The 14,616-nt window shown below is 34.4% G+C and overlaps 1 protein-coding gene across 3 annotated transcripts in view, besides 1 other annotated feature; it reads left to right on the top strand.

Moving 5' to 3' along the window:
* OLA1 (Obg like ATPase 1) overlaps positions 1–13,995 on the top strand; it is a 176,086-nt gene extending 162,091 nt beyond the window's left edge. For 2 of the 3 annotated variants that reach the window (NM_001011708.3, NM_013341.5), the window contains 4 exons: positions 4,378–4,518; positions 5,194–5,290; positions 7,352–7,474; positions 10,915–13,995. In NM_001011708.3, coding sequence (NP_001011708.1) covers positions 4,378–4,518; positions 5,194–5,290; positions 7,352–7,474; positions 10,915–11,016 — 463 coding nt within the window. In that variant the 3' untranslated portion in view covers positions 11,017–13,995. The remainder of the gene's footprint in view (positions 1–4,377; positions 4,519–5,193; positions 5,291–7,351; positions 7,475–10,914) is intronic. The other variant, NM_001328688.2, reaches the window with a different exon arrangement.
* Positions 2,065–2,667: an enhancer, noted in NCBI's record as "NANOG hESC enhancer chr2:174948503-174949105 (GRCh37/hg19 assembly coordinates)". NCBI's record gives its function as "activates a minimal SCP1, AML or CMV promoter by ChIP-STARR-seq in primed H9 embryonic stem cells {active_cell/tissue: H9 hESC(primed)}" and the evidence as "EXISTENCE:reporter gene assay evidence [ECO:0000049][PMID:30033119]".

Raw genomic sequence — 14,616 nt, 5'->3', positions numbered from 1 at the left:
TCCACTGAGGATCTTGAAACATATCCCCATCGGAAAAATGGGGGCTACCGTATGTGGTTTAGAGGCTTTAGTGTCCATATAGGAATAAGAGTCAAGGAACAGTTTCCAGGCTGTAGATAACTAGAGCGAGGCCCACTCATAAAGCCCAGAAGAAGCTGTCATTTCCATGACCAGATACTAGAAAAATACCCCTCCCTGCTTCCAAACAAGGGAGGAAACTGTTATTCTCAGGAAATTAGAAACTGAGACTGCACTGTAAGAAGCATTACCCATAACCTAGTGCAGAAACACTAAGCCTAAAAACATTAATAAAACTTCCCTGGATCCCAGGACCCTCCGTAGATCTCTCCCTAGAAGAAGTAACCACAAGACTACCCCATAGATACATCTCAATCCTGGGGACCACCAGACTCCCTTAGAAATATCTGCAGCTGCCAAAATGACCACACATACACAAATATAGCCCATATGCAGGAACCAACTGTCCTGAAAGATCATTAGCAGATGACAAATGGGGACAGGGGGATTTGAGAGGGGAGTTAAGAAACTATAAGTCAAAGCAGTCTGAAAAGAACTTGCAAATTAATGTTGAAAGGGACAAAGAACTTATTAAACAAGTTTAAAATATTACCCAATTAAAGCAAGTAGATTTGGAAGAAACAAATAGAATGTTTAGTAATAAAATTCATATCTGGGAAAAGAAATATAAACAATGTAAACTAACCCTGGGAAAATCAAGTTTTGGCATCTGGAATTTTAAGGCTGGCTAAGAAAGTCAGATCACAAGGCTAAAAGTAAATTTGAGACATGATCTTTTGGAAATTTGATATTAATTTAATACTAATGGTCTCATTCTGCCGAAGAATCTGTAGACAAGCGGTCCCCGACCTTGTTGGCACCAGGGACTGGTTTCATGGAAGACAATTTTTCCATGGGTGGGTGATGGGGGTGTGGTTTCAGGATGAAACTGTTCCACCTCAGATCATCAGGCATTAGATTCTTGTAAGGAGCGCACAACCTGGATCCCTTGCACGTGCAATTCACAATAGGGTTTGGGCTTCTGTGAGAATCTAATGCTGCCGCTGATCTGACACGAGGCAGGGCTCAAGTGGTGATGCTCGTTCCCCACTCACCTCCTGCTGTGCAGCCTGATTCCTAACAGGCCATGGCCTGGTACCAGTCCACAGTCCAGGGGTTGAGGACTCCTATTGTAGACCACAACTTGCCAGTGTATCTCAAAGTATCATCCTTTTTGTCTTAAAACTAGTTGTCCTTTCTTTGTCCCCTTGCTGTGGAATCACTACCGGGAAGAAAAATACAACTAATGGCATTTCCACTTTCCATTTGTTACTCCTAAGACTGAGGAAATCAAGTGTGTCTTTGGCTGCTTATGAGGAAGGATGGATCCCTTTGCAGTAATCTGCTCAGACAGATTTGCAAAATGAAGTCTATGAAAGGCTTTACAGTTTAACTCTTTAGGGGTCTACTGTCTTTACTGTTCCTTCTCCTCCCACCCACCATATAATTTGATATTCTTTGACAATATCATTATTATTTTGATCACTAGCAACTGGATGACTTTCTTTAGACATTTGCTAACATTTGTACATAGAGATTATTATTCAGGCACTTCGGCAGAATGGCTTGGAATTGTTTTTCTAGTAGTGGTACTGAGCTCAACTTTAATTTTCTATATCCCTCGTGCCAATAGCACACATTTTTGAGATGACTAGCTATAGTTTGGGGTATGGTTTGTAGAAAGAGAATAGACATTTTTCTGCAAAAGGTAACTGGTCCCCATGGGGTTCAGATTTGTGATCTTGGCCTCATTATCACACTTTTGTAACCATCAGACCTAATAGATACACCACATATATTTCAGTCTATAATCTTGAAATCAAATAATATTTTTAATTACCCTAGGTTTATTTCATAGATGTAATTAAAAATCATTTTGGGACATTTCCCACTTTTGTTTGATAGTAAAAGTCACAAAAGTAAAGCAGACAGCCAAAGAACCTCACTCACTTTTCATCTTCCCTGTGTTTTCTATGACAGTGAAAGTCACAAAAGTGAAGCTGGCAGGCAAAGAGCCTAACTCACTTTACGGGAGAGTGCTACGGTACCTTTTTCTTTTAGTGAGGCTATAGCAGGTCTGATGTCAGTCACTTTAGAGACCTTTAGACCTCAGTGCTCATTTACTGCTAAAATGTACCAGCTCTGCTTCTGCATTATGAAGATCATCTGTCAACACTTTGAGATATTCTCCTTTGTTATTAAGCTTGTGATGCTCTACACTGTCAGGTTTTTTGCCAATTATAGTTAAGGTACAATAGTGTATTCACCAGATCAAAGTCTCACATTGGCGGTAGAGGAATGATTTGTAAGTCTTTATTCATTTGAATTGTACAATAGAACACCTGAGGAATGCAAATAATCCCTCTGAGAACTCTGCAGGAAAGGCTGTTAAAATGACAGGGTAGGACTATTGTTATTCTGAATTGATGTGTTAGCTAAAGTAATTATTTCTTATCTTGTTGTTTCATAACAGTTCTAGTTTTATTAGTTCTGTTGACCATATTTATGAAATAAAGTGTGTATGATATTTTTATATTCTCCTTTTACATGGGCTTGTTTTATTTCACTTTCATTGAATCTATTTGGTATGTGATCTGCTTTTTTAAAATTACATATTTGATTTTAACTTGTATAATGAAAGTAAGTTACTAAACCATTGATGATAACATTTGAATATAGACTTTTGTTTGAATAGTGTAAGTCTGTGAAGTAACTTAGAATACCATAATGTTAACGGAGACAGAAGCACCAATTTCAGTCCCCCCACCTTTTTTTTAACCTGTCCTTCTTAATTTTGGTTAAGAAAACATCTAGTTTGAATTTTATGTTAAAGGCAACATAAATCATAGGACTTGGTCCATTTTTTGGGATATGAACAAAAGAAAAAATACTATTATGAAGATTGAAAACCACAAATAACATACTAAATAAGTAGTTACCTTTGTATAACAAACATATACAAACTCTTGTGTGATTGTTTTTCATTCCTTTCTCCCATCCTAAATCCTGCTCAATGGGCCATAGTCTTAATTTTCTAATAACTCTGCTCCCCTGCCATTGATGGATTTGTGACTTAGTTCTTGTTTTTCTTTTCCCCTAAAGTGGCATTTACATTAATTATTTAAAGGACTTCTGCCACAGCATTTTGCCATAATAACTATTAAAACCTTTGTCTAAATATAGCAGTCTAGTGGAATTATGTAAGCCTATAGCATAATTTTATAAAAATTTTAATGGAATGTATAGTCTCACACTAAACTCAGTTCCAGATTCATAGGAATGTATGCTATGATTATCTGAGAAGGAAAATTAATAATAGTAACTGCTGTTAATTCTTTACTATTTGCAGGCTTTTCTAGGTTCCTTACAATATAATATGTACTATTATTATCTCTATTTTTACAAGTGAGGAAACTGAGGCTTAGAAACGTTCAGTAACCTGCCCAGTAATAAAAAGCTAGGAAAGTGTTAGGCTCTGAACCTAATTAATATATTCACTACACTTATTTCATTTATGTTCTAATTACTACTTTGCCAAATACTCCATGCTTTGGAAGGAAAAAAAATGACTCAATAATGTCTTTTCAGGTAACAACTAGGATCAGTTTCCTAACTGATTTGGCTTTCCAAATCCTTTGTGATTAAAGGAATTTCTTTCCTCTGCAGTTCTATTATTCTTGTTCTCACAAAAGTCAGGTTCATACAGCTGCGTACGTGATCAACCATATTTGTAAATCTGTATTTCTGCACGTGCTTGTTCTGGCTAGGAAAAAGCTTCCTCAAAACTAGTGACCACTGTGAGTTCTGTTAGTCCATGAAGGAACTAAACCAGGCATATAGATATCTGGCTGGAACAAATTATTTATTTGTGAAGGGCTCTTCAGAATTAGCTGGTATTTTTAGGTATGATTCCTGTACAAACAGAACTTTATGTCTTCTTTTAAAAATTTACTTTGTAAAGTAAGGAAAACAAAAAATTATAAAATGGAAGCTTTATTCAAGGGTACAGGTGTTAATGCTGAACAATTTTAGTGTAACTAAAAAAAGTTTTTAAATATTTGTATAATAGTTTCCATAGATAATGTGCTAAAGTAAAACTAGGTTACAGTAAAATACTATGGCGTATACCTGAAGCAGTTGCTGCCTGTTAATGCCTTGACCTTGGAAAGCTATATACAAAAAGATGGCATCATAAAACCGTGCAATTCTTATGAATATGTATGTGCTACTTGATAATAATGAATGTGGTACAGTCATGCATGCACTACAAGATAATGTTGTGCCCTTTTTTGTCTACAGGTTGATAAAAATTAAAGAGTGGGTGGACAAGTATGACCCAGGTGCTTTGGTCATTCCTTTTAGTGGGGCCTTGGAACTCAAGTTGCAAGAATTGAGTGCTGAGGAGAGACAGAAGTATCTGGAAGCGAACATGACACAAAGGTTAATTAGCATTCATTTTCCCTACACTTTATTATCAACTATTTCCTTGCAGTAATTTAATTGCTTGCGCTGATAGAATAATAAATGACAGAGTAATTACCATTATAAAGAGGGAATCTTCTCCTTTCTTTACCATGAGACAGAGTGAAAAGATTTATTTTAAATTAAGTTTTTAACTGTCATCTGTCATCTCCGTACAGTGTTTTAATTATAACATAGGTATTAGTTATGTATATTTTTGAGAAGGAATGATCGCCAAAACTCTTTCGTCATGTTCAGTGGGGGAGGGGAAAGGGTGAATCAGTTGCCATAATTTTTTCTGAGTAACAGTAATATATTGTTTAAATATCAGATTTCAATCAAATAATTTTGCTTTTATGGCCAGGTCCTGGAAATAATTAATTTTGGATGAAAATAGTCATAATTTTTCTTTTTTTAAATAGCAAACAATTCAAAATAATATCTTCAGGCTAATACAATTAAAACCAATTTTAGAAGAGAGGTTTTTAAAAACAGTTACTTGCTTTCTGAACCCTTCCAGTGTATTCTGAAAGATGAATGGTCATTTACTACTATCTTTAACATTTTCTGCTTGAAATGAATAATTTTAGCTCTATACCAATTTCTGGCACAATCAACTTATGTGTTGGGTGAATTTGTTTCATTTGATTTCAGTGCTTTGCCAAAGATCATTAAGGCTGGGTTTGCAGCACTCCAACTAGAATACTTTTTCACTGCAGGCCCAGATGAAGTGCGTGCATGGACCATCAGGGTAAGATTCATACTTATTCATCAGCTATATCCAGTTCCACACTATTGAATTCAGATTGATATCACTGACTTTGAAGTTTGTCATGGTGGCGGTTAGCTAGTCATTACAGATGAGGTTTTTGTCCAGGATAACTTTAATTATTTGTGAGCTGCTGAACAGTGAAAGTGGAGCGGCATTGATTGAGGCAGGTAACAATTGATTCTGCCTATTACATAGTCTGAATTTCTTCATCCTGTAGAATCTGTCTACCCTCCTCCTGTGGTCAGAGATAAGACGCACCAGTATTGTGCTTGCTTAATCTGTGTGACTGGGTTTGTCTGCAGTGAAATTGATGTTGCTTTTCATTTTGTATTCGCTAAGTTTGTTTGGGTTGCGGGTGGTTCTTTCCTCCTTTGCTTTGCTCGGATTACATTTTCAGCAATAAAAGCAATATGACATCATTATGCTCTTCATAGATACACAGTTGGGCTCAAAAAGCTAAACTCAACGTGTAATAATTCATGCCTTTTTAAATTTGAATTCATAGAAGTAATGTTTATTTTCAGTGTTATATGTTCAGTCTTACTTCTTTAAAAATGTGATATGTATTTTAAAAATTGATGTATACTGAATACAACAGAGAGAATGACTAATTTATTCCCAGAGGACAATAGAAACTGAACTGTAATGGTTTGCTTTTAAATTTAAATATATTGTAACATAGTAGTTACTATTGAAAAATATTTTGAAATATATGTGATCCTAAATAGTATGTTACAGAATATAAAAATAATACCAGAACTTTTAGAAATAGTGTCTTATTCAGTCTTTTATTATGCTTTTTAAATATATGCTACACGATAAATTTTAGTGGTGCTTTGATTCCTGTTTTCAGTGACTACTGTAATTTATTGTTACATGTATTTTGATTTAATATGGATAGAAACATGGAGGCAGTTAACATAATGTTAAATGCCTTGTGTGAATGTGAGATTTACTTTTCTTTTATCTCCTCTCCCCTTTGTAAAAAAATGTTTGATTGACTTCTAACCAAGGTCCTTTTATATAGATTTTAAAAATAATGTCAAAGCAAATCCAAGTTGGTAAACAAATTGCCAGGATTTATTTTTACTATATATTTTAAAGATGTATTTTAAAGCCTTAAAACTTTCTAACTTAAGTATGTGGAGGTAGGAAAGATAGCATGTTCTGGGCTTGAAAATGTGAAAGCTGGTTTATCTTAAGACTGATTGTAAGTATCCATGATTTAATGTGCTAAGATATTTAGTCAGGTAAGCATCAGTGAGTAGCTATATTAACCCAATACATCTTTTATTGTAAAAACTGTGCTTTCTAGTGTCAGACTCCTTATCACTTTAACATGCTTTATTAAGCAGCCTTTAGGTCACCGTTATTTCTCAAATTTCTTTCCATGGTTATGTGTGTGTGGAATATATATCCTTGTAATATAACATATGGGTTAATTATAAGACATTTCTCTCCCTATATCAACTTGAATTTCCTTCATGATGGTTAGAGGCAGGGAATATTATGCAAAATGTTCAAAAATTTTATTATCGAAATTTTTTGAGAGTTTCACAATTATTTGCTGAATGTAGATTTCCAATATGATTTGTTGGAAATGCCTTTAAAATGTCCCTTTGTATATTGATTTTTATATGTTCTTTAGATGAGCTGAAATTTTGAGAGCTTTTTATCTTTTTAAAACCTTTGATAATTCAGCTTGAAAGTTACTTAAAAATCTATTTTTTTCCACTGTGAAGAATAGAAAATCGAAATGAAACCTACACCAAAACCAGACCACTGCTTCTAAATCAATAAAACAGTGGATGACTGTTAGGAAAAACAAAGCCACGCTTCTTTAATATCTACTGATCTATGCTAAATCTGCTGCACAGATACTACCCAGTGTTGAAAATGTACTAATTATATACCTGACATCTTAACAGATATTAAACTAAGTTCTAGTTGAGCCCAACTGCAGATCAGAGAAAAGAAACTCTGTGCTTACAATCAGTCATCTTAAATGCAATTAGTTTTCTCTGGTCTTTCTTTTCAAAGAAAGGGACTAAGGCTCCTCAGGCTGCAGGAAAGATTCACACAGATTTTGAAAAGGGATTCATTATGGCTGAAGTAATGAAATACGAAGATTTTAAAGAGGAAGGTTCTGAAAATGCAGTCAAGGTAAAGAATTGTTTTTATTTTTGTATTTCACAATGTTTCCACTGATGCGAAGTTAGTCATGATAAAAATGAATGATAATTATCTTTTAAACTGAGTGTAGTCTAAAATAAAGTAATAAGATGATCAGCGTTTAGTGTTACTATCAACTGACTTAAGAGCTATAGATGTTTACATACTTTTAGATCATTTTAAAAATGTGTGAATTGTCAGTAGTTTTGTGGAGGTTTTTTTCTATAATTGAAAATAAAATAAATTAGGTTTAAGTAATTGTAAATAATTTCGAAGAATTTGTTCACTCATGGCCAATGAAAAATTGTACTTATTACATTTGAATAGCTGAAGTATAATATATATGCTTATAATTACTTCAAGAATAGAGATAGAAAGTTAGTTAAATAAAAGCTGTTCTTTCTAAAACTTCATGGTTTTACTTGTTTGTTGTTTAAAGATACTTGGGGATTTGATTTGCTTTCTCAACACTAGAGGGCAGGTCCAAAATTGTGCTTTATTTTAGCTAATAAGGATAATTTGGTTTGCAGACACTAATAGTGAAGCAGTTTTATACATGAGTAGTAGATGACTTGTTAAATGTAAATTCTGTTGCAAAATTAATTTTGTTTGATTTATTAGATGTTACTTAGAGAAATCTAGCAATCTCTAATATAGACAGATTAGCTGGTTAAACTGACATTGTAGGAAGGTTCTTTAATTTAATTTAATATTTGAAGACTACTATAGTAAATGTTATAGAATTTAAAGAAGATTCTTGTGTTTACTATTTCATAAGTTGAAAGGAATACAAAAAAGTTTATTTCAGGTTTACTTTATTTTCACTGGTATCATTGGAAAGGTCATACCGAACAGCAGGACTTTAATAGAACTGTTGGAACACCAGGAAGAGGAGGGGGAAAATCTTGGTATAATTGGTTCAATGTTGAATGAGAACCATTTTGTTTTTTTGAAAGAGTGGAAGGAATAACAGTTTACAAGTAAACACAGTTGTTAATTTTTTGATGGTGGCATCTGTATAGATATAGGTAGGTGTGCAAAAATACTGAGATTGAACTTTGTCAGGAATACTAATTAGACGAACAAAAATCTCAGATTATTTGTCAACATGCTACATCATGTTGGCATATCTATTTTTCATAAGGAAGATAAAAATGAGGATGTTTTCTATTACTAGAATTCAGAGATCAGATGCTTCTTTTTTTATACTCTTAAAATGGTAAGCCTGTTTACCAATCCTTAGTAGATCTATGTTGTAATAAACTTGATAGATGAATTGTAAATATTTCCTTTAACAATTGAGAGAAACTTTATAATATCCAATAAAATAATATTTCCTGCTTGTAAGACTATTTACCACTAACTGGCAGCTTTTATACTATAAATTAGAAAAGGTTGACTCTGACATTTTCACCTAGGATACCATTAAATATTTTACGTTGTTTTAACCTCCAAAACTAATATTTCAAAATTTGAAGTCCAAGTAAAATGAAGCATTTAGGAATTGCTCTCTGCTCCTTTATTCAACAAATGTTTACTTGCAGATTATCAAGTAGGTTTTAGATTTGAGAGCAAAATTGTGTATATGTGTGTGTATGTATGTATGTATGTATGTATGTATGTATGTATGTATGTATATGTATTTCTAACACCAGTGCAGCATAACTAATTTAATGCCAGTGCTGTGAACTATATACTGAATAGCTCTGTGTGGGCTTTGTAGTCTACAGGGATATCACATTATTAGCAATCATATCTGCTTAGGCAAAGCTGGCTTCTACAGATGGCTGCTTTCAAGTGCAAATGAACTGGTTAGACGTGTCTTGTTTAATACATACTCAAGATTCACAAATGGGTATTGATTTTTTTTTTCAACCAGTGTTTCTGATAGCAGTGGAAATGGATTAAATGGTCTCTAGAGAATTTAAAGGAACACTGTCACTTTTAATTAATAGTAAACTTGAGTGGTAACAAAGTATATAAAGTTACATTAATATGTCATGTCAATATGTACTTGATTTATATTGTCTATATAGTTTTATAACAGTGGGCTATAGATTCTAGAAATAAGTAGCTTATGGCCTTCAATACATTGCATGTCTTTATAAAAACATGTGAAAATATGTATTTTTATATATATACACACACACATATGTGTCATATATATGAAATATATATAAATATAAATATATATGTATACACACACACACATATGCCTTTAATTGTAGGGTACGTTACGTTGGCTTTCTAGAAATAAGCTTTATATATTCTTCATATATTTATATTCTGTTAAAATCAGGACAGTTTTATATGTGGTCTAGATAATTGAAAATATGCTTACTAGGGCTCTGCAATCTGGTTTGTTGATTTTACCCTCAGATGTATGATCTTTATTAGTGTTTTTGTTACAGATTAGTATAATTTCACTTGGCTTTGAACATTCTTATCAATATCTTCAAAGAGAAGCACTAATCCTGTTGGGCAAAGGTTTCTTCTCAATACATTCTAACAGAAGGGAAAAACTTTTGAGAATTTCCCCCAAAAGATCCTCAAGTCCTTATTGTTGAGGAGTCGATGGTGGGGTCATGTGGGACCATGTCAGCTGTGTGCAGTGTTAAGTGTGGGTGCTGCAGAGCCTGTTTTACTTATGGTAAAGTAAAGTTCATGCCATGGACTAAACCTGGTTTTCTGGAACTGCTGCTTGCTTCTATTAAAATTACCAGCAGATTGCATGTCTGGATCTGCATACCAGCAGGTGGAATCAGTTGCTTTGCTGACTAATTTACAAGTGGAAGAAATATCTGTCTTTGCAACTGCAACCTGTTAGAGTCTCCTTGTAACTAGGGCCATTAGTCAGGAAACCGTATGATGAATTCTAGTACATACTTCTATGTATACACATTGTCAAGACTAAATTTTAAAAACTACAAGGAAGTAGTTCAGAATCTTACACAACAACTGATCATAATTTTCCTTATACCAACTATATTTTTGGCATCACCAGTGTCACCAAAGGATTTCTTTAAGCAAATAAAGCAGCTTTTAACTAGTTATATAGTCTTTTTCTTTCTGCCTGGTTTGATCTGTTTTGTTACAGTGACTTGCTGGATGTTTGCAGACACATCAGAAATGTACCATAAACAGCGTGTAATGAAACTTAATGATATTGGTATAATTACATTTATGTACCAACAATTTAGTGGAGAATACATTATGATTATGTATATATGGAAAATCTAGTTCTGCCCAAATCAAGAATACTTTGCTTCTCTCCAAGTCTAGTTTTGAACTTGTATGCCTTCCTATATTTCATTTTTTCTTTTTTTATATCACCCAAGTAGTATAATACTTTTTATATCTGCTGCCACCATTTACCCCATGTATTTAGTTGTAAACTAATAACCCATTTCCTCTATATTTTCTGTTTGCAGGCTGCTGGAAAGTACAGACAACAAGGCAGAAATTATATTGTTGAAGATGGAGATATTATCTTCTTCAAATTTAACACACCTCAACAACCGAAGAAGAAATAAAATTTAGTTATTGCTCAGATAAACATACAACTTCCAAAAGGCATCTGATTTTTAAAAAATTAAAATTTCTGAAAACCAATGCGACAAATAAAGTTGGGGAGATGGGAATCTTTGACAAACAAATTATTTTTATTTGTTTTAAAATTAAAATACTGTGTACCCCCCCCCCCCCATGAAATGCAGGTTCACTAAATGTGAACAGCTTTGCTTTTCACGTGATTAAGACCCTACTCCAAATTGTAGAAGCTTTTCAGGAACCATATTACTCTCATGATACTTCATTAATCTCCATCATGTATGCCAAGCCTGACACATTTGACAGTGAGGACAATGTGGCTTGCTCCTTTTTGAATCTACAGATAATGCATGTTTTACAGTACTCCAGATGTCTACACTCAATAAAACATTTGACAAAACCAGCCTTGGTGTGTTTGGGGATGTCTGTATTGACTGACTGTGGTGTGCTGAATGCGATACGGCACCTGGTGGTTGCTGATTACAGAATTTTAAGGCGTGTGTATGACACAGTAACTGGCAGTGTGGGGCAGCTGCAATTGTATCTTAAAAGTGAGTCTTTCATGGGAATCAGAAGAATAGTATACCAGGGATTTGTCTCAAAAAAGTTAATTAATTTATAGATCAACATTTATTGAAAGATGATAGCAATGATATTATGAGGGATATGAGATAGGTGACTGACCACAAAGAAGAAAATTCTGTCTCAAAAATTAAAGAATTTTGTTTGTTATTGTTGTTCTGACCATATTGAAAAGAGGTTCACTTTTAATCTTTCCTTTGAAATTATTAAATTGTAAAAACTGACCCATTGATGTCTGGTGGGTTATGTTTTGCTTCAATTCAGCAATGTGTATAAAAGTTCCTACACTGATTTTGAAATACTAAGATCAGACTTTGAAAATTTTAAAAATTCTTTCATTCTTACTTTTCAGATATTTGAGAGCAGTCGAAGTGGTAGTATGGGTAAGTTAAGCACTTCTTAACATTGTAGCAGAAAATTCCAAAAGAAAGACTAGAACAAATTGGTAATTTGGAGACCCTTTGCCACTTAGCCTTCTCTTGTGATGATGGCCTGAAAGCTCTCTCGGCCCTGAGCCTCCCTTTCTCTCCCATGTTTCCATTCCTGTGAGACCTCCCTTCCTTGTCCTTGTCCTCTGCCCTTTTGTGCTCTTCTGTGATCACAGGACCATTTCCATGGAATGCAGATTCATACCCAGCCAGCCTTTGCCTCTACTGTATCGCTTTGGGACTTTAAAGATGCAGAAGTATTAGAACACACACAAACTTAAAATGGAAAGTTACCAAATGTAGCACTAGAGGCAAGAAAAGGGGTGATTTTTTAAAGATTTGGCTATACTTAAGATATTTAAAGAGGATGAGGTTGAGTCGTGAGTATAATTTAGAAGCTCTCCAGTGAGTATTTTTTTAGTATCAAATAGTGATCTTCTTTTGCTAACATAAAAATGAGTAAACTACAGCAGAGAAATAAGAATAAAACTAATGAAGGGTTTTTTAAAAGAACTAAATAAAACAAATAAAACTAGGCTACAGGTATAGCTGACCAAGTTTGCTGTGAAAAATCCTTGTTATATCTATTTCTGTATTGGAGTAATGTGTAGATTAGTGGATTGTTAGGGATTTCAGCAGTATAAGAAAGAATCAAATATCTTGCTTTTGGGTCTTCTCCAAAGTAAATTGCATGGACTTCTTAAAGAAGTTTGAAATCAGTAAAAAGACATTAGGATCATGCAATTTTACTTTGTCTAGCTTCTAATGTGGTAAATTGCACATTGTGCAACAGAACCATTAATAAAAGAAAGGAGTTAGTTTTGAGGTAACTGCATTCATTAGGGGCTGAAAATAAATGTTAAAAATGTTTAATTTGGTTAGAAGTTCTACAACATTGTATGTACATATACAAAATTTCATTTTCTCTGAAAGTCGAGAATTCCAAGAACTGTTACATATAATCATATATATGCCTATATCTAAACGTTTTCCCTCCTTTAATATTGATAAAGTTAATATATTTTAGGATGTTATGTAAATATTTTTGCATGTATCTGTAGCTCCATCTTAATCAAATTTATGGTTAAAAGAGATTTGAGGCCAGGCGTGGAGGCTCACACCTATAATCCCAACACTTTGGGAGGCCGAGGTGGGAGGATCACTTGAGCACAGGAGTTTGAGACCAGCCTGTGCAACATCATGAAACATCATCTCTACATAAAAAAATACATATATACAAAAATTAGCTGGGCATCATGGCACACACCTGTAGTCCCAGCTACTTAGGAGGCTGAGATGGGAGGATTGATCGATCGCTTGAGCCTGGGAGGTGGAGGCTACTGTGAGCCATGATCATGCCACTGCACTCCAGCCTGGGCAACAGAGTGAGACCCTGTCTCCAAAGAGAAAGAGAAACTTGAGAAGGCTTGTGCCCAAAGCTTGAAGAAAGATTGTAATAGCATTTAGTTGTGTTTTATCATGTTATCTTCATAACATGCATTTTGCATATGGCTCAGAGCAGAGCCGGATCTCCCAAGGAAGCACAAATAGTTTTTGTCGCTAACTTAGTTATGAGTGAAGCCTCTGTTCACTTATAACTTGCCAGTTTCATTGGTGGAATAAGTCCCCTTACTCATGATTCATCAATATTCCTATATTAAAATTCCAGTTTGATGTTTGTCTCTAGTTGTCTGTGTATAATATTTCCAAAGCTCCTTTGTAAACCCCGTCTCCTTTCATTCAGAGAGTCAGAGACGGTATCTCCTCCTCCTGCCTCTTCTATTGTTCTGATTAGTCTACTTAAATTCACTTGATGCTCTTTTTATTTTACAAGAGACTTGAGAAATGTCGGTTGTTCCTAATGGCAAACTACTTTAGCTGGGAAAATTCATTTCAACTTATTTTAAGCTTGTAAAATACACTGTGGTGATAAAATAAAAGAGCTGGGTTTGACTTTTGAGTGACTTTTTTGTCTTCCTAACTGGTTTTGGGCCCCTTATAAAAACTGACCGTTCTTGAATCACCTTCATGGTCTATGAATTTCCCAAACCACTTGTAAATTAGTGCTTCAGTGAAAAGCCTTGTGTTGCAATTAGGAAATACAAAAAAGGGACTCACGTGACCACCCAGGCAGCAAGCGCTTCACAGAGTTCTCAAACCACACATCTAATCTGCTCTTTGGCCCTGCAGGTCTAGGAACTGATTTTCTTCAGCTCAGCAATGCCGTGTTATAACACTTTCCAAACATCTAAGAGCCTAATTTATAAATTAGAATGACAAGTTCTTCACTTACAGTAGATGTTCCTGATATATCAGTAACAGATGCTGGTTAAGGCCCATCCTCAGGAGTCAGGAGGCCAGGCTCTGTACCTGACTGTACCACTTCCTAGTTGTATGACCTTAGTTATACAAGCTACTTAACCACTCAGAATCTGTTTCCTCGCCTGTAAAATGGGGATAATAGGACCACCCTCATGGGGTTTTTGTGAGGGTTAAATTAACTTATGTATACATGGAAAAGGCTAAAGCTGCTTAGTACCTAGTAAGTGCTCAACAAATGTTAGCAATTCTTTT

Source organism: Homo sapiens, chromosome 2, assembly GCF_000001405.40.
Source record: "Homo sapiens chromosome 2, GRCh38.p14 Primary Assembly".
Taxonomy (NCBI): Eukaryota; Metazoa; Chordata; class Mammalia; order Primates; family Hominidae; genus Homo; species Homo sapiens.
Note: the sequence above shows the minus strand (reverse complement) of the source record. Positions and strands in the feature narration are given on the sequence as shown.